The sequence below is a fragment of the Homo sapiens genome, chromosome 6, assembly GCF_000001405.40.
Source record: "Homo sapiens chromosome 6, GRCh38.p14 Primary Assembly".
NCBI classification, from domain to species: domain Eukaryota; kingdom Metazoa; phylum Chordata; class Mammalia; order Primates; family Hominidae; genus Homo; species Homo sapiens.
This window is the reverse complement of record NC_000006.12, coordinates 25,911,840-25,934,654: the sequence shown is the minus strand read 5'-3', so window position 1 is coordinate 25,934,654 and position 22,815 is coordinate 25,911,840. Positions and strand designations below refer to the sequence as shown.

Genomic DNA, 22,815 nt, shown 5'->3' with positions numbered 1-22,815 from the left:
TCATTTTCTGCCTTTGAGTCACATTTTCCTTGTTCATATAATTCTTAAAAAATGTATAGTTTTCATTCTAAGGGAACATAAAAACTTCTTTCCATTTCTATTCCTGTCTAGTTAATTCTACTATTGGGAAAAGTAACTGTTAAAAAAAATTCTTATCTTTCCAGTCAGTTCACCACATTTCCTTTATACCTTTGTACTTTAATCCCCAGTCATGTTGAACACTTCTTATTCCTCACACCAAGCCTCAACGGGTTTGCTCTTTCTGGAAGGTGCTTCCCCTGTATTACTGACTTATTCATACCACACATGGAGACTGGCGCAGCCCTGTTCTGCCTGGGAAGCCTTCCCCTGATACCCCCAGTTGGCAGGAGTCTTCATTTGTTCTTTTCTAGTCACCTGTGCAAGTTTGTATTGTTCATGTTTATCATCCTTCATTCTAGTTGTCTGTCTCTGTGTGTGGTCTCATTCAGTGGACTCTGAACTCTTATGAAGTCATGTCATGGGTCAGATCTTAATAAATTAATATTGTCGGAAGCTAATGTCATGTCTAGAATACAGAAAATTTATCAAAAAAAAATATAGTATGTTGGCTGGGCGCAGTGGATCAAGCCCGTAATCCCAGCACTTTGGGAGGCCGAGGCAGGAGGATCACATGAGGTCAGAAATTCAAGACCAGCCTGGCCAAAATGGTGAAACCTCATCTCTACTAAAAATACAAAAAGTAGCCAGGCGTGGTGGTGCCCACCTGTAATCCCAGCTACTCAGGAGGCTGAAGCGGGAGGATCACTTGAACCTGGGAGGCAGAGATTGCAATGAGCTGAGATCATGCCACTGCACTCCAGCCTGGGCGACAGTGAGACTCCATCTCAAAATAATAATAATAATAATAATAATAATAATAATAATAATTGTATGGAATTGAACTGCTCTGATTGGAAATAGCTGTTTTTTAAAAAATTATTATTTTTTAAGTTCCTGGGTACAAGTACAGGATGTGCAGGTTTGTTACATAGGTAAACGTGTGCCATGGTGATTTGCTGCACCTATCAACCCATCACCTAGGTATTAAGTACAGCATGCATTAGCTCTTTTACCTAATGTTCTCCCACACCCCCACCCCATCCTCCCCCAACAGGCCCCAGTGAGTGTTGTTCCCCTCCCTGTGTCCACATGTTCTCATTGTTCAGCTCCCACTCATAAGTGAGAACATGAGGTGTTTGGTTTTCTGTTCCTGCCTTAGCTGTTAATGTCAGGCCAGAGAGGCTTAAATTTTTAAGGATCTCTGGACTTTTCTTCTACATTACTCTTGATGTTTATAAATGTTACAACTTCTTTAATTTCATTTAATGTATACCTTATTGAGTTGATTTAACTGAGTTAACTTTGTTATATGAAAATCATGATTGGGAGTGAGGGGGTTAAACCAGCTACAGAGATCTTGATTGTTGGTGGTGAAGCAATGCAAGAATTCATTCATTCAGTAAACTAATGTTTATTAAGCGTGTACTGTCTTAGTCTGTTCAGACTGCTGTAACAAAATATCATAAACTGGGTGACTTATAAACAACAAAAAATTTATTTCTTACAGTTCTGGAGGTGGGAAGTCTAAGATTAAGGCCCTGGCAAATTTAGTGTCTGGTGAGGACAGGTAGCCATCTTTTTGCTGAGTCCTAACATGGCAGAAGGGTTGAATAAACTTCCTTGGGTTTCTTTTATAAGGACACTAATCCTAGTGATGAGGTTTCTGCCCTCATGGTATAACTACTGCCCAAAGACCCCTCCTTCTAATATTATCACTTTGTGGGTTAGGATTTCAACATGAGTTTTGAGAGGATACAGACATTTGGATCATAGCACACACCATAGGACAGACACTGTGCCAAGAATTGTGGATATAGTGATTCTCAAAATGAACAAGATCCCCTCAGAGAGCTTGCAAAATCCAGCTATAAAATTATGCTTTTTAAACAAATTATGCAGTTTGAAAAATCTACTCTGAATCTTACTTGTGGCATTGAATACTTTCGGCCACTCTTTCCTTATTATATTAAATATTTACTCTTGTTTGGGGGATCCAGTCTCACCTACTTTTTCTACCAGAACTGGTATCAGCTCATGCTCTGCCTTATGCAAATTAAGAAAATATCATACCTTTTGGGTAAATTAAGCCAAGAAAGTTCTCCTTTCTTCTCTTTCTCTCTTTCTTTCTTTCTCTCTTTCTCTTTCTTTCTTTCTCTCTCTCTCTTTCTTTCTTTCTTTCTTTCTTTCTTTCTTTCTTTCTTTCTTTTTCTTTCTGACAGGGTCTTGCTCTATTGCCTAGGCTGGAGTGCAGTGGTGCAATCTCAGCTCACTGCAGCCTTGAACTCCAGGGCTCAAGCAATCCTCCTGAGTAGCTGGGACTATAGGCATGTGCCACAACATCAAGCTAATTTTTGCATTTTTTTGTGGAGACGGGATCTCCCTATGTTGCTAAGGCTGGTCTTGGATTCCTGGGCTTATGCGATTCTCCTGCCTCAGCCTCCCAAAGTCCTGGGATTACAGGCATGAGCCACTGCCCCTGGCCATTATAACTATTTTCATTGGCTTATCAGGCACATGATAACTATAATAAATCAATAACCAGAATTTTTAAATAAAGAAAGGAAGGAATTGTTTCAACTCTTCCTGCTACCCCTCTATCCCTCAAAAGGGTAGGCTGAATGTTGTCCTCCAAAGATATCCATGTCCTAATCCCCAGAACCTGTAAATATATTACCTTATATGACAAAAGGGACTTTACATGTTTAATAAGTTAAGAATTTTGAGATGGGCAGATTTTCCTGAATTTTGCAGATGGGCCCTAGTGTAATCACAAGGGTCCTTATAAGAGACAGGCAGAAGAGTCAGAATAAGAGAAAAATACTTCAAGATGTTACACTGCTGGCTTTAAGGTGGAGGAAAGGCCAAGAGCCAAAAAATGCAGTGGTCACTACAAGCTGAAAAGAAAAAGAAATGGATTTTCCCCTAAAGCCTCTGGAGGGGGCACAACCTTGCCAATACCTTGATTTTGGCTCAGTGAAACCCATTTTGGACTTCTGACCTTTAGAATTGTAAATAAATAAATAATTTTGTGTTGTTTCAAGCCATCACAGTTGTGGTAATTTACTACAACAGCAATAAAATAGAATTAAATACAGAGATCTGAGGAGTTGAGTAGGATAAGCCTACTCCAGCAGGTTATTTCGGGAGTATGGTGAGACTCACTAGGATGGCGGAACTCAATTAAGGAAGTCTGAAGCTGATAAGCCAGAGAGGGAAGGCTCTCATTTCATTTTATAAGGGTTGCGTCACACTAGGAAGATCCAATAGCAACCACAGTCTCAAAATTAATGATTACAAATAGGACACAATTCCAAGAGTCGGGAGCCAAGCAGAAAATGGATTAGGGAAGACATGGATGATATGAAACAGGAAGGAGGGGTACAAGGCAGCTTCCTGGGAAGTTGCCAGGGCAGTCACAGTTCACATTCATTAGGCTGTGGGCACCAAATGCATATGGAAAATCTAGCTGACTTAACTGAACTCCTGAAGAGGAATGAACACCTCATTTATTGAGGAGCTACTACCAATTAGAATATGTATTTCATTTGTTCAATAACCCCATGAGTACAGTAACACAATCCTTGCTTTACTAAAGCGGAAGCCAATTCAAAGAGGTTCAGTGACTTGTCCAAGCTCAGGGAAAACACTAGGAAGTGAATATGGGTCTGACTCCATCACTGATTTCAGGAGCCCTGCCCTTTCCTCCACACCATGCCCCCTTGCTTTCAGAAAAAAAGGCTTGTTGACTGAATGGTTGTATGCACAGTTCAAAGCAGAAACACACGATGACATCTTTTGAGATACTCTAACAGTGAGAACTTGAAAATGAAGTTAAAAATTAAGCGGCAAAACCAAGCCGAGGCTTTCTGAGAAAGTGGGGCCAAACCTGTTGCCGTCTGACTGCCACGTGGCTCACTATTTATCCCTGTAAAAATCTGCAAAAGTATTTGAAAGGGAAGAAGGGACAGAAAACTCCCTCCTTTTCCAAGTTAGCCTTATAGTCTAGGGCTTAAAATACTGGTTTAATGGTGAAGGTAAGTGCTTTTCTTCTTTTTGGGTAGAAGGATTATTACTAACTTACCAAAGGTCCATTAAGGGGAGGGAACAGTTTTAGGAGAAGTCAGAGAAAAGACATTAACAGCAACATAAGGATCTCCATCTGGTAATATTGCCTAATTCCAAAATGAAGAGACTCTCTGAAAAAGATAACTGATTCAATGAAGACCCTAGGGCAAGGCTTGAGAAGCCACTGGTACCAATGGACACTGTGGACAATGGTCATTTCTCCAAGGACGCTGTGAGTATTAACTGTGATGCTGTGATTAGTCAGACTGGGATTGGCTGTGGAATGAAATACTGATCAGAACTGACAAGATTTGTGTTTGGGACTGTGGCTAACGAGTCTTTTCAGACTTCTATATGAATTTGAAATGGTCTCTCAGGAAAAGGAGAACATGGCCGGGCCTGGTGGCTCACGCCTGTAATCCCAGCACTTTGGCAGGCTGAGGCGGGCAGATCACTTGAGGTCAGGAGTTTGAGACCAGCCTGGCCAACATGGTGAAACCCTGTCTCCACTAAAAATACAAAAATTAGCAGGGCGTAGCGGCGCGTGCACCTATGCGCATGCATAGTGCGCGTGCCAGCTATTCAGAAGGCTGAGGCAGGAGAATTGCTTGAACCCAGGACGTAGAGGTTGCAGTAGTTGAGATCATACCACTGCACTCCAGCCTAGGTGACAGAGTAAGACTCTGTCTCAAAAAAATAATAATAATAAAAGAAAAGGAGAACATGACCAAAGTTATGAATAAGACTGAAGGCAAGAAAATTGTACGCTTGTAGAGATCACCTAGCTTGTTGCCCTCATTGTACAGCTAAGAAAAGGCACCCAGGGACATTGTGGTCAGCACCAATTTCTCAGAAAGATAGGCAGATGATGAGAGGGCCCTCAGTTTTTCTAACACTGAAGGAATTGCTTCTATGTTTTCTGGTGAACTCCTCCCCACTCATCTTGAGGATTCCAGGCCAGAAGAATCCACTTTAAAAAAGAAACATTTAAAACCAATTTAACAACCAATCAAAGGCACTTTTATAGAAATACATTTCATTTGCTGTAGGCCTGTATTTATGGATCTGAGAGGGCTAGACTGCCAATATTGTGACTGTTTATTATTATTGCTGTTGCTAGTATCTAGAATATTATACAACATATAACACTTTGCAATTTACGAGGCATGTCTCATACTTTTGTTTTCACTCCAAACTGCCCAGTGAAGTAACATTATCCCAATTCTTCCTATGAAACAGTGAAAGCCCTAAGAGTTTTTGAAACTTTACCTGGTTTACTCAATTTGGGAATGGCAGAGCAGAATTCAGTCCTTGAATATCCTCCCACTGCAGGTTCATGCTCTTTGATCTAGGTGTAACATTTACTCTGAGTAAACTAGGACTCTGGGCTAACAGAGATGAAGCAAGACAGGCTGGATATTAGGAGAATCTAAGAGCAATCTAACGACCATTATAATAAAATCATGAGTTCTAGACTTAAAAAAAGGGAAAAACCTGTTTTTTTGCTTATGCGTATACCATAATATTTACATTATTTATTTTTTTCTCAAATTCAACCTATACTGTGTCAAGTAATTTTTTTTAATATAACATTTTCCTTTAACTTAATTTCAATTCATTTTTCTGTGTCTACTTACAACTTTGGCACTAGAATTCACAATTTTTTTTTAGAGGTATATCTCCTTAAAGGGAAGGGTTCTGACACTGTTACATGTTCTCAATTGTTTGCAAATAGGTTAATAATTATTCCAGTGTCTCTAAGTACATATCAACCATGCCAGTGTTCAGCCTCCATAATTTTATTAGCTTCTGTGCTTATTTTGGAAAAACATTTCCCATTACCATGAAAGACCTCAGTTTAGGATGGTTTGGTATGTTAGCCTGATTTCTGCATTCGTCTCATGCAAAGGAAAATAGGAAACGAAGAACTGAAATTACCTATTGATACAAAATCAAAGTAGCATTTGAAACCATAAAACTTAAGTAGGGCTTTTCATCCTTTCTCGTTAGACAGCAACAGAGAATGGGAAGAAAAACTAAAGTGATGGGTTTGTGATACAATTCCAGTAACATAAAGAGCAAGGAGAAGTAGTTTTGTTGTGTTTATGTTTAATATTCAAAGCTCAACCTAAAAGTATTTTTCATTATCAAACTTCCTTCTAGAATAAATGATTAAAACTTGATTTAAAATATACAAATTCTCCTTTATAATACCTCAAAATGGAGCTACCCCATTGAGTTTTAAGCTTGTGATTAAAATATTACGAAAACAAAGGGGAAGTTGTAATAGGTAGAACAAGCAGTAGTCTAGGCATTAGGGGATCTGGTGCTGGCTCTGTGCATCATGTGGTTTCAGGCAACTTTTCAAATTTTCTACGCAAATTTTCTTATCAATAAAATAAACAGTTGGGCCAGAGGATCTCTGAGTCTCTTTCAGCTTTCAGTGTTTATAAGATTGGAGAAGTTGGTGGGAAAGCTTTAAGTGGAGTGTAAGTAATTGCAGCTGCATGTACAGTTAAAGAGTTGCCTTCAGCCAAGCCACGGGATCTTGCATAAAAAGTGAAATCAAATAGAAAATGGTCCAAACTCTGGGTTTGACCACAGATGACTTCAGCTAGGATCTGAGTGTAGAGCAATGAGCTGAACTCCTGATATCCAGATGTTAGCAAGACTTGGAGGCCTTCTAAGGCAGAGCAACAACCAGTATCTGTCCTGGTGCTGACCTGATCTTACTAGCAATTGGGCCTCCATTTGGGTCCATTGTACAAAACAACAACAACAACAACAATAAAATCTCCAAACACCCAAAATTCAAAATTTAGATGGAGAGATACTATTCCCAGAATTCTAGAGATATTTGGAAAGCAGAAAACTATACTTGCCATGCTGATGAAGTCCAATTATTGCTCTTTTAAATACATTTAGCTACTTCTGAATATAAAATGAGTATCTACTAATTATTTACAAAATCACTTGGTAAATATAGAAAGTCACAAAGAATGAAGTGATCATCCTGTTTTGTAACCCAGAAATAGTCATTACTGGCACTTGTGTGAATCAGTTTCTATTCCTGTATGTGGATGTGCACAGCGTATCCTGCTTTGTACACTAGAGTACTAGCATTTTTCTAATGTAATTCAATATTGTCGAAAACATTTTAAAATAGCTTCCATCACAATAATCTATCAAATTGACTTGCCAGACTCTCATTATTAGGTTAATTTATCTCTAACATTATGCAGTCATGAGTAATACTACAAAGGATATTTTTGGACACAATTTTTCATCTATGCCTTTCTTTATAATCCTTCATCCTAAGGTCACAGATTATGAATATCTTTAAAGTACGGACAAGTCTTTTAAATTTTGTGTGCAAAAACAGTGCAAAGCCTTGAATGATAAAATAGAGGTTTGATATATGTGTTTTTTTGTTTGTTTGTTTTGAGACGGATTCCTGCTCTGTCCCCCAAGCTGTAGTGCAGTGGCACGATCTTGGCTCACTGCAACCTTTGCCTCTTGGGTTCAAGCAATTATCCTGCCTCAGCCTCCTTAGTAGCAGGGTCTACAGGCATGTGCCACCACACCCGGCTGTTTTTGTATTTTTAGTAGAGATGGGGTTTCACCATGTTGGCCAGGATGATCTCGAACACCTGACCTCAAGTGATCCACCCACCTCAGTCTCCCAAAGTGCTGGGATTACAGGTGTGAGCCACTGCACCCGGCCGATACATGTGTTTTTAAAGTCACAGAAATTTCAGATGTCTTGAAGGATTTTAAGCAATTTAAAAAATAAAGTCATAGAAGCTTCAATTTAGGAATGAATGGAAAATTGATGATATTCTTAGGATATGGATTTTTCCTAAAAGAAACAAATGTATGCATCCCCAAAGATAATTTGATTAGTATACAAATATTAAATTAAACATGTCCATATTTAGAGCCATGAATTCTCTTTGCCTGTCACAATAGCTGGATTTATTCACAATTGTAGTAATTAGTCCCTGTTCATTATAATTTTCTAGGTGATATGAAGACTTTGTCAGTCCAAGCAAGTGTCCACATTGTGTGTAGCAAACATGAGAATAAACATTTTAAACTTTTAAATGTAATACATATTAGTGTTATGTAATGTCATCCTTCATGTTCGAAGGCACATGGAACATTGTTCTGGTGGTACAGAGGGGAGAGAAACACCATCAGAATGAAAGGAAAGACCGCTCTGGAACCTTCCTCCTTAGCTCTTGAGCTTAGTTTAATTGTCCTGTCTTATGGTCTGCTACAAGCAATACCACTCTTCACCTTCGCATGCTTCTCTGTGGTTTGATAAAGTACATGCAATTTTTCATTTAATTCTTCCAGCTGCACTAAGAAAGGAGCCTTATCTTTATTGAACAGATGAGGAAATGAATGATTAGAGAATTTAAATGACTAGCTCTAGGTCACACAGCTGGAACTTACAGCCAGATTTCCTTTTAACAATCCTGTAACCAAAAGCATACCAGTAGTGCCCCATAAAATGTAAGTTATAGAGCTGTGTTGGGTCAAAACTTTTACTGATGCTAAGAGGAGGCAACATTAACAAGGGGAAATTATTTGTGTATTATGTTTTGGATTATGTTCTCTCCATAGATAAAAGACTGTCGTAGTAAAAGAGATTCAGGGCACAGGGAAACTCCACCACAAAGCGTGGTACCATTTCCCACAGAAGCTAAATGGACGGGAAGCCTGCCACCAGGAAAGGTAAAGCCACTGCTCTTGTTTGCAGGCTATGTTAATAAGCTGAAGCTTATTCCGACACATTTACACATCTCTGCATCACACTGACCCTTCGTAAAGATACTCCCAGTGTAACATTGGAGCCAGCTCCAGCCCCTGATCCTGTTGCTTTTTCCTTAGCCCCATGAAATCATCTGTGAGAAATTAAGCCAAATAAGCAATAAATCCTGGGATCTAGGGAGTGGAATAAGTTTTGGGAAAGTCTTTTTTTTTTTTTTTTTTGACTGAGTCTTGCTCTGTCTCACAGGCTGGAGTGCAGTGGTGCGATCTCGGCTCACTGCAACCTCTGCCTCCCGGGTTCAAGTGATTCTCCTGCCTCAGCCTCCCGAGTAGCTTGGACTACAGGCACACACCACCATGCCCAGATGAATTTTTGTATTTTTAGTAGAGATGGAGTTTCGCCGTGTTAGCCAGGATGGTCTCGATCTCCTGACCTCGTGATCCACCGGCCTCGGCCTCCCAAAGTGCTGGGATTACAGGCATGGGCCACCACGCCTGGCCCGGGAAAGTCATTTTAAACCAACCTATGTATGAATCCCTACTATAATATTCTCACCAAGCGGCTGGCTCTTTCTCCTGAGCTTGGAAACCTCCAGTAAAATGGAAATAATTATTTCCCAGACCACCACTCTTATCTGTGAGCTTTTTTGGCCATTAAAAATTATTTCTTCCATTATATTTTTATCTGTGTCTTCACAGGTTTTCTCTTTCTTTCACTTTAGTGCTTTTCTTCAAATAAGCAGGAAAAATCCAATCTATCATGCACATGGGAACCCTTTCAATATTGGTCTGTGGTTGTTCCATTTTATGGGGATGCTTTTAAAGAAAAAATTTGTCCTTTCAATATATTGAATATCTTCCAGCACCACATCACCTGCAAGCTTTGTAAAAATAGTTCTACATATTAATTTTTTTTTTTTTTTTGAGATTGAGTCTCATTCTGTCACCCAGGCTGGAGTACAGTGACATGATCTTGGCTCATTGCAACCTCTGCCTCCTGGGTTCAAGTGATTCTCCTGACTCAGCCTCCCGAGTAGCTGGGATTACAGGCATGCATCACCATGCCTGGGTAATTTTTGTATTTTTAGTAGAGATGGGGTTTCACCATGTTGACCAGGCTGGTCTCAAACTCCTGACCTCAAGTGATCCACCTGCCTTAGCCTCCCAAAATGCTGGGACTACAGGCGTGAGCCACTGCACCCCACGTAGTTTTTTTTTTTTTTTAAGTTGAACATATGTGAAGGCAGGACCTAGTGACACATAGCAATAACATTTCCAAGTAGACATTACACTAGGGAATTAGTCGAAGTGCTCATTTAAAGTACCATCTCTCAAATGTATTAAAAGAGAATCCTTGGATGTGCAATACCTTAATTCAAAGGCAGCTCGTTATGTATAAACTCTCAAGCTTTGTGATAAACAAATGTGCATAACAGATGGGACTATTCACTTACAGCCCAGGGAATTTTATTGACGCTGAGAAGGTTATGTGACTGGCTCTGCCACTGTCATCCCCATTCACTTCATTTTGGAGCAATATGACATAAATGCCTTACATGTGGGTTTTCTCTATTTATCATGTGTTTCCTATCCCCTTGAAAGATGGCCATATTTGCTTTACTTGGTTATAAGATCCCATATTCGCTGTCTTGAAGCCAACCAAATAATTTGACAAAGTGGGTTTGTAGTGCTGGCTATTTTGGTGAAAAAAAGACAATGAGACTTCATGTGTCATCCAAAGTTCTATCAGATCGAGCTGTGAGAGAAAGGAAAAGAAAGGGGTCTCAGTCAGGATGCTCACTACATACATCTGTGTTGTTGTCTAGGTCCAGATTTCTGTTCATTACGCTATGGGCTGGCTCTTATCATGCACTTCTCAAACTTCACCATGATAACGCAGCGTGTGAGTCTGAGCATTGCGATCATCGCCATGGTGAACACCACTCAGCAGCAAGGTCTATCTAATGCCTCCACTGAGGGGCCTGTTGCAGATGCCTTCAATAACTCCAGCATATCCATCAAGGAATTTGATACAAAGGTAAGTATGATGGAAAATAGGGCTCTTTGTTGAGAGAAAAAACTTTGAAAGGAAGGCATAGATCTTGATTCTGTGGAGTATGGAAGTATACATTTCCAATGACAAATTAAAACTGACTGGAACTATTTTTCTTTGAGACATTGCTTACTTCAATAATAAAAATAAGATTTCATTGAGGTTATTATGATTATAAGGTGGGGGAACTGTAGAGTTAAATGTGAAAAATTTAAAAATGGAACAGTTTATGTGATGTCTTCAATGAAAAACTAGGTATTACCTGGGCACATTCTTATAGGTTACTCAATCCTATTCAGTTCTCTGCCTGTTTTATTGTTTCTGAGCAATTTTATATCCCTGTAAATTCTATATAACCAATAGAAATGCAAACGATTCTTGTCCATAGCTTTGCAAATAAATTTTGCCAAGAGAAAAATCAGTTAAAACTTTTCTCCACTCACCTCCCAGTTGAATTAGCCAATTTTGCTGTTTGTTTGTTTGTTTGTTTTTTGAGATAGAGTCTTCCTCTGTCATTCAGGCTGGAGTGCAGTGGCATGATCTCAGCTCACTGCAGCCTCCGCCTCCCGGGTTCAAGAGATTTTCCTGTCTCGGCCTCCCAAGTAGCTGGGAGTAAGGGGGCATGCCACCGCGGCTGGCTAATTTTTGTATTTTTAGTAGAGACAGGGTTTCACTAGGCTGGTCTCGAACTCCTGACCTCAGGTGATCCACCCGCCTCGGCCTCCCAAAGTGTTGGGATTACAGGTGTGAGCCACTGTGCCAGGCTCTGCTGTATATTTAAAGTCTATTTCAGCATTGCTTCCTGCTTGTGTTATGCGTGATTCTTTGAGTTTTCCTTTGAACCAGTTATAACATCTTACTTACTTCCTCCATTAATCAATGAGTTAAATAAAATCTTTGTTGTATGTTTATTTTACATTTATATGAAAACCATGAATTTACCCAATTAAAAAAATTATCCTTTAAATTATCTTGTACTGTACATTTCCCATGTCATCCCTATAATTCATGATTAATGATTTTATTACATTGGACCTAGCTTATTTACAATGAGTACATAAATTTATTGTCTCCAGTCTTTCCTCCATTATCCCGTCTACATATCCACACTGAGTAGATTCACTACTCAGGAATCTTGGACACCTTCAAGTTGCCAAACATGCAGTGTTCACTGGACATGCTGTGTTCCTTCAGAATTTGGGCCTGCTTCTCAGCACACTCACATCTGCTATCAATGACCCATGGAAAGTTTTTGCCCTGAGCAAGCCAGAGTCCCTGTTAGTTTCTTCCAAATGCTACAAGTTCACTTTTGCTATTTTTTCCGATGAGATAAAATTTTCCTTTTTGACTTTCTACAAATCATAGTCATTTTTCAAGGGATAGTTCAAGTATTGCTTCCTTTCTGGGACCTTCCCAAATTATTATTTTCTCCTCTCAAAGTCTCTGTTTTATTTATGTTCATCCTCAAATCTTGATTCTCACATGAATCATATACCTTGTATTATTTATAGTTTTTTTGAGTGGGTAAAATATTTCATATTTTATATTCTTTGGCTCTCTACTTTATAGCATGATGCCAGATATTTAGGGGCCTTATTGCATTTATTTTTTATTTTATTTTAAAATCTATTTTATTTTTTATTTATTTATTTTAAAATCTATTTATTTTTAGGTAAATATTCAGGTAATATAATTTATGTAATTATTTAGGAATTTTAGGTAGTTATTTTAAAATAATTCAAATTATTTATTGAGTTATATCAGAAGAATGTGATCTTATTCATTTGTAATATGTGTTTTAGGAACTCAGTTCAGCCAGGGCAGACCATGATTCCCAAACTTGACTTTTCTTTTTAATTAGGCACTGATTTTGGTTAAGAGTTCAGTAAAGTTTTGTGTGTGTGTTTTAAAAAATTCTTTGATATAAGAGTCAAGATGTTACTCAACTTTTACTAGAAGCAAAATAGAGGAAGTGCTTTCACAGATGAAATATCTCTCAATGTTTTCTTCCATTTACTTCTTCCTATTATTCATCTATATAATCATTTTCTTTACCTCTTTTCTTCATTTCTTCTGTTTTTCTCTCCTTCTACTAAGACAAGCAAATTAGGGGTATAATTGGTTATTTGGGAAGGTAGGAAGAATATAGAGAGAAACAAAAATCAATATTTTATACTAGGGTCTCACTAACCTCAAGCAACTCTGACTGTAAAGTAGATTTTCATAATAGGACTTCTTGACAAAGAGTTTTCCTATTTTTCCCCCAGGCCTCTGTGTATCAATGGAGCCCAGAAACTCAGGGTATCATCTTTAGCTCCATCAACTATGGGATAATACTGACTCTGATCCCAAGTGGATATTTAGCAGGGATATTTGGAGCAAAAAAAATGCTTGGTGCTGGTTTGCTGATCTCTTCCCTTCTCACCCTCTTTACACCACTGGCTGCTGACTTCGGAGTGATTTTGGTCATCATGGTTCGGACAGTCCAGGGCATGGCCCAGGTATCCAGATACTTTCTCATTCTTGGTGGGATCCAGATTTCTGAATTCTACAAAATATCAAAGGTCTTAATGATTTTCATTTCAGGGAATGGCATGGACAGGTCAGTTTACTATTTGGGCAAAGTGGGCTCCTCCACTTGAACGAAGCAAGCTCACCACCATTGCAGGATCAGGTAAGTGTGCACAGATGGGTCATAGCTTTGTCATCTGTTCCATCCCACTGTGTCTTATCTTCTATGAATCAAATGGTTTGGGGAAGAGAGAGAAAAAGTACTGCTGAAAAATTCAACAATATAAGACACTTGCATCACAAATAGGAAAGATGCATCTGTGCAGTAAAGACATTGAAGCTTAGAAGTAGAAAAAACCATTGTGAGCTAGGTTTCAGCTCAGAAAAGCCTTAGTAGTCAGAAAAGCCTTAGTAGTCAGAAAAGCCTTGTCGGAAAAAGTTTAAACCTTTAAGAATTGCACACATGGAAAAAGATCAAGTAAGCTATATATACACCATCTTAGCAATGATTTTGAAGTGAGAATTAAGGCTACCACAGCTCCAGGTGGTAAGGAGAGAAATCAGGCTGGAAGAGTTTGAAGTTTCTGTATTATTCTAAGCTCTTTACTATTCTATTATGAGCTCATTAATTCTCACAACAACCCTCTCATATAAGTACCATTTTAAATTCTTATTTTACAGAGAAGGGAGTTAAGGAAGGTGGAGATTAAGAAAATTGCCCAAATACAAATAGCCAGCAGGTGGTAGGTCTGAGATTTAAGCCCATGCAGATTTTAGCCCCAGAGCAGACATTCTCAATCACTATGCTAGACTGCCTTTCCATGGTATGTGATCCTACTCAGGCCTCTACAGCTTTATCATTGCTGTTCTCCCCAGCCTGTCGTGCTGAGAGTATATACTCGAAGAGCAGAACTAAAATTCCATCCAGCTTCTCACTCCTAGGTCCACTACACAGCTGCATCCTGCAGACTTTTACCTCAAGCAACCCTCCTGCGTTCTTGCTTCCTTCCATCATAGTTGTAACCATCTCCTCTATTTGCAAATACTATCTGCTGATCTCTCTCTTCTAGACTGGTTTCTTTCAACCTTCTTCCCACCAAAACCAAGTTAGCTTGCTAAAATAAAGATGGCACATTTTTACTCACCCGCTTGAGAATTTTCAATGTGTTCCTTCATGCTTACAGAGTAAAGCCTGACCTCTTTATTGCATGAATACAAAAGTTCTTAGCCATCTGGCCCCAACCTTGTTCCACTCAACTCCCCTGTGCAAGCATGGCTCCAGTGGCACTGGACATTGGCTGCTCTCCACATAGATCTGCACTGCACTTCCCTCTGGCTCTGCTCCCGTTAGTTTATATGCCTGGAAAGTTCTTTGCCCCTGTTCCTTGTGCCAAAATTCCATCTATCCTATTGCATAGCTTATGTAAAAACTTCCTAAACCTTTTTTTTTTTTTTTTTTTTTTTTTTTTGAGACGGTGTCTCACTCTTTCGCCCAGGCCGGACTGCAGTAGCGCTATCTCGGCTCACTGCAAGCTCCGCCTCCCGGGTTCACGCCATTTTCCTGCCTCAGCCTCCCGAGTAGCTGGGACTACAGGCGCCTGCCACCATGACCGGCTAATTTTTTGTATTTTTAGTAGAGACGGGGTTTCAAGCCAGGATGGTCTCAATCTCCTGACCTCGTGATCCGCCCGCCTCGGCCTCCCAAAGTGCTGGGATTACAGGCGTGAGCCACCGCGCCCGGCCAAAACTTCCTAAATCTTATAATTATTATCAATTTATCCTCAGATATACTTCCACGTACATTGTAGTTTTATTATATTTATATTTTACATCTTTTTTTTCAAATTTCAGTTTGGGACCCATTAGTGAGTCATAAAATCCATTGAGCGGGTTAAAATCATTATTTTAAAAAATGAATAGAATAGAATAGAAATTGTTGGAGTGCATTGGACATGGTAAAGTTAAATATCGATTCATGAAACCATCGTTTGAGGCATATGTGTGTGGTTGTATGTACAAGTGTTTATGCATATTGGTGTGTGTGTTATGTTACCCTGTAAAATGCATTTCTTACTATAGGTCTCTGTGAAATATGTGTCTTGTTGTTTTTTAATGTAGACTTCCAAAGCCTACATGGCATTTCACTAGTGACAATCAATTTTATTCACATTTTTCTCTCCAATTGGACCAGAAGCTCTTTGAGGGCAGGGGCTGTATCTTACCGATTTTTGTAAGTCTTTCATTTCCTGCCCCTAGCCTCATATTAGATCATGCAAGAATGCAACTGTAATCACAAGAAAATGCTAATGGGCTGTGATAGCAGAGAGTTACTGTGACAAACTAAGGGATTTAGATTTGGTCACATTGGTGTTGAGGAGCCATTGAAGAATCAGAGAGTGTGTTACTATTATTTGTTAATTTTAATTATATCATATTACTTTACTGGGGAAAATCTGTGAGCTATTTTAGAAATAAATACTCTCATTGCCCAATAATTCTAAGTCTGCCACCTCACTGTTGGGACATTGTTTAGGGAGGCCACGAAGTCTCAGCCTTTGATATTTTCATAAGTGTTTTTCTCCCTTTTTCCTTTAGGGTCAGCATTTGGATCCTTCATCATCCTCTGTGTGGGGGGACTAATCTCACAGGCCTTGAGCTGGCCTTTTATCTTCTACATCTTTGGTGAGTCACTTTCTCTTAAATCCTAACGCCTCCATTTCCTGAGCATCCATTTTGGCACCTACACCACCCACATTCTTCCTATATGAAAGAAAATGTCCTTTATCAAATGGAAGATGATAAAAAATGTCAACGGTTGGTATCATTTTTAATCTAGTCACACAACCTGATTAACACCTTCCTGGTGGTTCTGGGAAGCCACACGCACAAGGTAGAGGAGTTGACTATTCACATGGCACCCACCGACTTGTGATGCAGTCTTGTCCTTCCATATCAAGCACCTTCTGCAGAATCTCTACCACCACATCTGAAGTGCCTGCTATATGCAGTTAAGATGTCAAAGATAGTGAAGTACATTTTCAATGTGTCTTCATATTTCATTATAATTATTATTTCTGTCCAAGATGCCTTTCACCTGTTCTCTACCAAGTTAATCTTGCAAAGTTCAATTCAAATGTTCCCTTCCCCATGGGCCCTTCCAGGGCTTACCCTATCAGATTCTGGCATTCTCTCCTTTATGATATTTCCTCTCTAGGTTATGTTGGTGTGTAATTATTTATTTCTCCTTTTCTTTCCACTAGACTGTGAAATGCTTGAGGCAAGGAATCCATTCTATGTTTTCATCACTTGGGTGTCATCATGGTGCCTGATTTTTAGCTTTAAAATAAAAGAATCAGTGAATCCAGTAATTAGAGGGGATTTAAAGAAAACTAGTCCTCAGAATCTTTTAACATAGAATGTTCTTCAAATAAGGAATTCCAATAATAAGACAATTTTCTACACTTGATTTTGTTTTTATAGCCAAATGGTGTCATTAAATATAGTCCTGGCCTGAATGGCTTTCTCATTAATGATGCTAATTATTTTGGTTTGTACATGTTAACCAGGTATTGTACAAAAATATTTCTTTTGGGAATCCATAATGGATGTATGGCTTGAATACAAATAATACTGTCTCTTGTAAGTGCATTGGAAATTTTTCCCTGCCACATGATTTCATGGAAGGTTGTTTCGTGTATGTATGACTGCAAACCTGACTATTCAGATCTTCCGCAACAAGACAACTTATGTGTGCATTAAGAAGTTGCTGCCTAAAATACATAACACTGTAATCATTGGAGACTTTAAAGTAATTAATCAGCTATGCAATGCCACGCTCCTGTTATCTCCAGAGGGCTCTGACATTGACAAATGGTGGCTTTCTATTTGAGACGTAATATCTAAAAAGCTTTAACAGGTTTGTAGAAGGATTGAAAGAAAGAATGGGAACATTTAGGTCCTTATGGTAGAATAAGCATTAATTGATTAGTGTGTAGAAGGGAGAGGCATGCCACTTCAGAGGAAACTTCCTTCCCCCAGTAAACAAATCTACCTAAAAACTAATTTTATCCCTTCTTCCCAGGTAGCACTGGCTGTGTCTGCTGTCTCCTATGGTTCACAGTGATTTATGATGACCCCATGCATCACCCGTGCATAAGTGTTAGGGAAAAGGAGCACATCCTGTCCTCACTGGCTCAACAGGTACAGTGCACACCTTGTACCTGTGGCCCATGCAGAGGTCTCTAGGGCAGGGTGTGGATCTCCTCTGAGAGGCACCATCTTGGCTGCTCTAATACTCATGCTGATTAGATCTTTCTTTTCAGCCCAGTTCTCCTGGACGAGCTGTCCCCATAAAGGCGATGGTCACATGCCTACCACTTTGGGCCATTTTCCTGGGTTTTTTCAGCCATTTCTGGTTGTGCACCATCATCCTAACATACCTACCAACGTATATCAGTACTCTGCTCCATGTTAACATCAGAGATGTGAGTTTACTTCCTATACTTCTACGAAAATGATAATGGTAATAAGGAGAAACAGTTCTGTGTTACCTATTACATTCTGGCTTTACATATAACCATTAATTTAACCTTCACAATGACCTTGAGAGAGGCATTGTTATAATTCCCTTTTCACAGATGTGGAAACAGGACACTTAGAGGTGAGATAACTTGCCCCAGGTTGCACAATACTAAGTGATAGAGCTGCTGCAGCATCCATATTCTTAACCACTATGCTATACTACCACACCAGCTGATTCCAAAGCTTCTTTTAGAAATAATATTGCTGGGCCAGGCATGGTGGCTCATGCCTGTAATTCCAGCACTTTGGGAGGCCGAGGCAGGCAGATCATGAGGTCAGGAATGCAAGACCAGCCTGACCAATATGGTTTACTAAATATCATCTACTAAAAATACAAAAATTAGCCAGGTGTGGTGGCAGGCACCTGTAATCCCAGCTATTCAGGAGGCTGAGACAGGAGAATCGCTTGAACCCAGGAGGTGGAGGTTGCATTGAGCCAAGATCATGCCACTGCACTCCAGCCTGGGCGACAGAGTAAGACTCCGTTTCAAAAACAAAAAACCCAAGAAATTAATATTGCTTTTATCTGGAGCCCAGAGTGATGCAGCTTCTGGCCCTCTTATCTGAGACAGTGTTCTTTTAGTGTGAAAAAGGATGCTAATTTTCCCCCAAACAACCCACAGTATCATGGGGGTAAGTTAATGGCTGGTCTGTGTAACTGACAAATTTTGGTGCTAACGTATCTCTATAACTACTCTGTATAAACTTCCTTCCTTCAGAGTGGAGTTCTGTCCTCCCTGCCTTTTATTGCTGCTGCAAGCTGTACAATTTTAGGAGGTCAGCTGGCAGATTTCCTTTTGTCCAGGAATCTTCTCAGATTGATCACTGTGCGAAAGCTCTTTTCATCTCTTGGTAAGGATAAGCGTGTGGGCCCATTTAACCAATCCCTTTTCTGCACATGGTCTCAGAGGGTTCCCTGACAGCATGTCCTCATTGCCCAGGGCTCCTCCTTCCATCAATATGTGCTGTGGCCCTGCCCTTTGTGGCCTCCAGTTACGTGATAACCATTATTTTGCTGATACTTATTCCTGGGACCAGTAACCTATGTGACTCAGGGTTTATCATCAACACCTTAGATATCGCCCCCAGGTAAGAGCTCTACCTGTTTTTTCCCCTCCTCCAGACCCCTCCAGAGGTGTTAGACCTCAGTGGTCGCCGTGAAACTCTTTAATGTTACTGACATTGCACTAATGGCAGAATGACAAATAACTACAAATATCTGTCTGTGGCCATTTTTAGAACAACAAATGTGGCATTTTTAGAACAACAATTTCCAATCTTGGCCAGTAATCATTTTGACAAAAACCTTCCCAAGCTTCCCTAACAGAGATTGAACTGTGTATGCTGGGAAAAGGCCCACACACAGGTGATTTGGAAAAGTTTCCATGGTGTTGTTCATATTAGCTACCATATATATATATATATATATATATATATACAGTCACAATAAGCCAGCTCCTGTGCCAAGACTTGCCATATATCAACACATCTAATCCTCACAGTTATATTAGGTAGGCCCTATTGTTATCCCCATTTTATAAGGGAGAAGGCTGAGGCACAAGGAGGTTAAATGGTGTGACTATGGTCACATAAAGGCAGAGCCAGGATTTGGACTGGGGGAGTCTGGCTTTGGAGTCTGTGTCCTGCCCGTTGCACAAACTGGCTTCTCCACTGAGCAGCCGGGGTAAAGAAACGTGGTTCCCAGAGAGACTGCATTGCTCCCTGGTTATTGACTTGGTAGATTGGTAATTTCAGGTTTGGCAAATAGACATTGCCCTGAATGTCTTTAGGTGAATGAAAAACTGCATTAAGCAAAATGACTTTGCCATTAGAGCTGAATTGCATTAAAGTTGAGTTGCTGCAGAAGCTGTAGGTGGCTTTCTATATAAAATCATTTATAAAATCATCTTCCCACAGATATGCAAGTTTCCTCATGGGAATCTCAAGGGGATTTGGGCTCATCGCAGGAATCATCTCTTCCACTGCCACTGGATTCCTCATCAGTCAGGTTGGGCCAGTTTATTGAACATCTTCAAGTGGCAGGTATTGTTTTAGGTGTTGGAGATACACACGGTGCTCTAAAGATCTGGATGGCAACACAATTACTCTATTTACATGAGCCTCTAAATCAGACTCTGGTAGGTCAGATTTCCCAGAGGAAGAAAAATATAAGCTTATTTTCTCAAGATGAATAGATGTTAGATTGATTAAAATGAGCTGTTCCGGTGCAGAAGACAGCACGTGTGACTTCCTAGAGGTACATGAGCATGAAACAGTTCTTAGTTATGACCAGAATGAAAGACACATGTCAAGGAATAGCAAGAGACGAAGACAGAGGGGCAAAAGAAGATCATGAAGAATATGTTCAGACTAATCCAATTTTTAAAAAATCACAAAAGGGAAACAAAGTGTCCTAGGCCAGTTTAAAGATAATTTAATGTCTGGAAACAGATCGGCTGTGAGACATTGCAAGGAGGCTTGCTCGGTGTTTGGAAATGCAGGCTCATGAGGAAGATGAAAAGACAGACCCAGGCAGGGATGGAAGGACTGACGAGAACCAACTTACAAAGAGAAGTTTTGTTTTTACTACATTTCTATGTGATCAAGTTCCCAGGTTAATATTTGACTAAACTGCTAGGAATCCACTGTGACTATAATGCTGGAAATGACTTAGTAGGGCTTTCTGAGGAGGGTCACACAGAAGACCAAAGAGAACTCATGTTGAATTGAGATGGGTTGTAGTGATAGTTGTCAACAGCCAATACAGAAACAAAAAAAAACAAAACAAACAGCAACAACAACAACAAAAAAAAACAGAGAAGACACAAACACAATGCCACAATGCCATTTTAGGCATAATTTTAAATGAGTAATATTATATGTTGAAATCCAAATTTTCAGAAAAACATTAGTGTATTTTATTTTTGTTTAAAGAAATAACCATCTCAACTCAGAACCCCATGTGCATTTTGGCCATTTTGTTTCCAATAGTTTCATAAACTTTCTTAAGTAACTACTGCACATTGTTCCTTATATTCCTTGTGATCAACATTGCAATACACAACTGGGAGGGCTACTAGAACTGGTGTAGAAGGAACTTGTGAGATTGATCATTTTCTCTGTTTTTTACATCTAGGATTTTGAGTCTGGTTGGAGGAATGTCTTTTTCCTGTCTGCTGCAGTCAACATGTTTGGCCTGGTCTTTTACCTCACGTTTGGACAAGCAGAACTTCAAGACTGGGCCAAAGAGAGGACCCTTACCCGCCTCTGAGGACATAAAGTTACAAACTTAAATGTGGTACTGAGCATGAACTTTTTAAACATTTTTTACTTCTCTCCATATTCCTGACCATAGACTCAGCAGTTCTTAACTCTGGCTGTGTGTTAGTCTTCCCTGGGGAGCCTTTATAAGACACTGATACTTGGGACCCACTCCAGAGATTCTGAATGAATTGGTCTGGGGTGGAACCCAGATACTACTAATTTTTAGATACTCCTTAGAGGTTTCTAGCATGCGCCCGGGGTTGACAACAGCTGGACAAACTTGAAAAGTCAATTCATGTGGCCTTTGAATTTTCCTCATTGGAAAGTACTAAATAAATAAAAATTCATGTGAAAATGATCACTGATAAATATCTTCATGGTGGGGCAGGTTATTGGATGCAGAGAAGATCTGCTCGGAATTGTAGCCATATGTTACAGATCTCAGCACCGATCGGAACTGTAAAGCTATAATCCCCAGAATTAAAGTTTTTATTATTTTTTATACATTGTAAAACATAGACGTTTATTTATGTGATTAAATTCTATTAAAATTTACATGCTAAAATAAAATAGACCATTTTCAAATTATTTAGATCCAGATATTTCCATCAGATTAAACAGATATTTATTTATCCTAGCCCAATTGCAAGAGATTAATGATGAGAAAATGACCAATACAAGATTAAATAAATGAGGTTAACTTAGAAATCAAGGACAGAGAAGATAGAACTGGAAGGCTTGTATTGTGAGAAGAATGAATGTGAAGGAAGGCAATGTAGACACTTCCAGAAGGGATAGCAATATAGTTTAGACCATATAATGAAAATTGGAGAGAGATGACAGAGACACTTTCAAGTGAAATGACAATTTATATGGGGGAGAAAAATATTGAAGACATAACAAGATGAGAAAAGGCATAGAAATGTATCACATACAAGGCATAGAAGTGTATCACATACAAGAGAAGTTCCTTTTGAGCGTAGAAAAAGATAATTTAACCTTCTTCATATTTTTCTTACTTTCCCAAGATACTCAGATAGGCAGCGTCAACTCTAACAGGAATTAATTTGGCTCCTAACACTTAAGACATATCCTTTAGTTTGTCTCCTCACACAGAACTGATTCTGGTTTTGCCACAACATGTCTAGAGAAGAAGTTCCCACCATATTTTAAATCCTATTAAAAAACTGCTTGGACAAGAACCTTGGGTTAATTCAGCAGATGAAGAGAATCTCCTAATGCAAATCAATGGGTATTTTTGAGCAAGTTTTTCAGAAAAACAGAGTGTCAGGCCCTGAGGGTGGTACTAAGATGAGAACATTGATTTTGCCTTCATGATATTGACAACACAAAGAGGAAAGGGGGTTTGCAGAAAACTAAAAGAAGAAGTAGAAGAAAAAAGAAAGACATAGTATAATAGGTAGTCAAATTATGTACAGAAAAAAGAGAAAAAAAAAACAAAAAAGGGTGGGGGACAGACAACC

General features: G+C 39.3%; 1 protein-coding gene across 10 annotated transcripts; it reads left to right on the top strand.

The window, feature by feature from the left end:
- SLC17A2 (solute carrier family 17 member 2) lies at window positions 3,964-21,901 on the top strand. Of its 10 annotated transcripts, none has more exons than XM_006714949.4 (12): window positions 3,964-4,115; window positions 8,776-8,886; window positions 10,749-10,960; window positions 13,243-13,476; window positions 13,562-13,649; window positions 16,082-16,168; window positions 17,568-17,686; window positions 17,809-17,970; window positions 18,787-18,919; window positions 19,009-19,156; window positions 19,985-20,075; window positions 21,204-21,901. In XM_006714949.4, the coding sequence occupies exons 2-12, from the start codon at window positions 8,859-8,861 to the stop codon at window positions 21,336-21,338; spliced, it is 1,437 nt and encodes a 478-aa protein (XP_006715012.1). In that variant the 5' UTR covers window positions 3,964-4,115; window positions 8,776-8,858; the 3' UTR covers window positions 21,339-21,901. The 10 variants fall into 10 exon arrangements, with proteins under 10 accessions (XP_006715012.1, NP_001273052.1, XP_047274021.1 ...); NM_001286123.3 differs by having other exon boundaries at window positions 3,964-4,378; XM_047418065.1 differs by having other exon boundaries at window positions 3,964-4,378; window positions 19,985-20,110.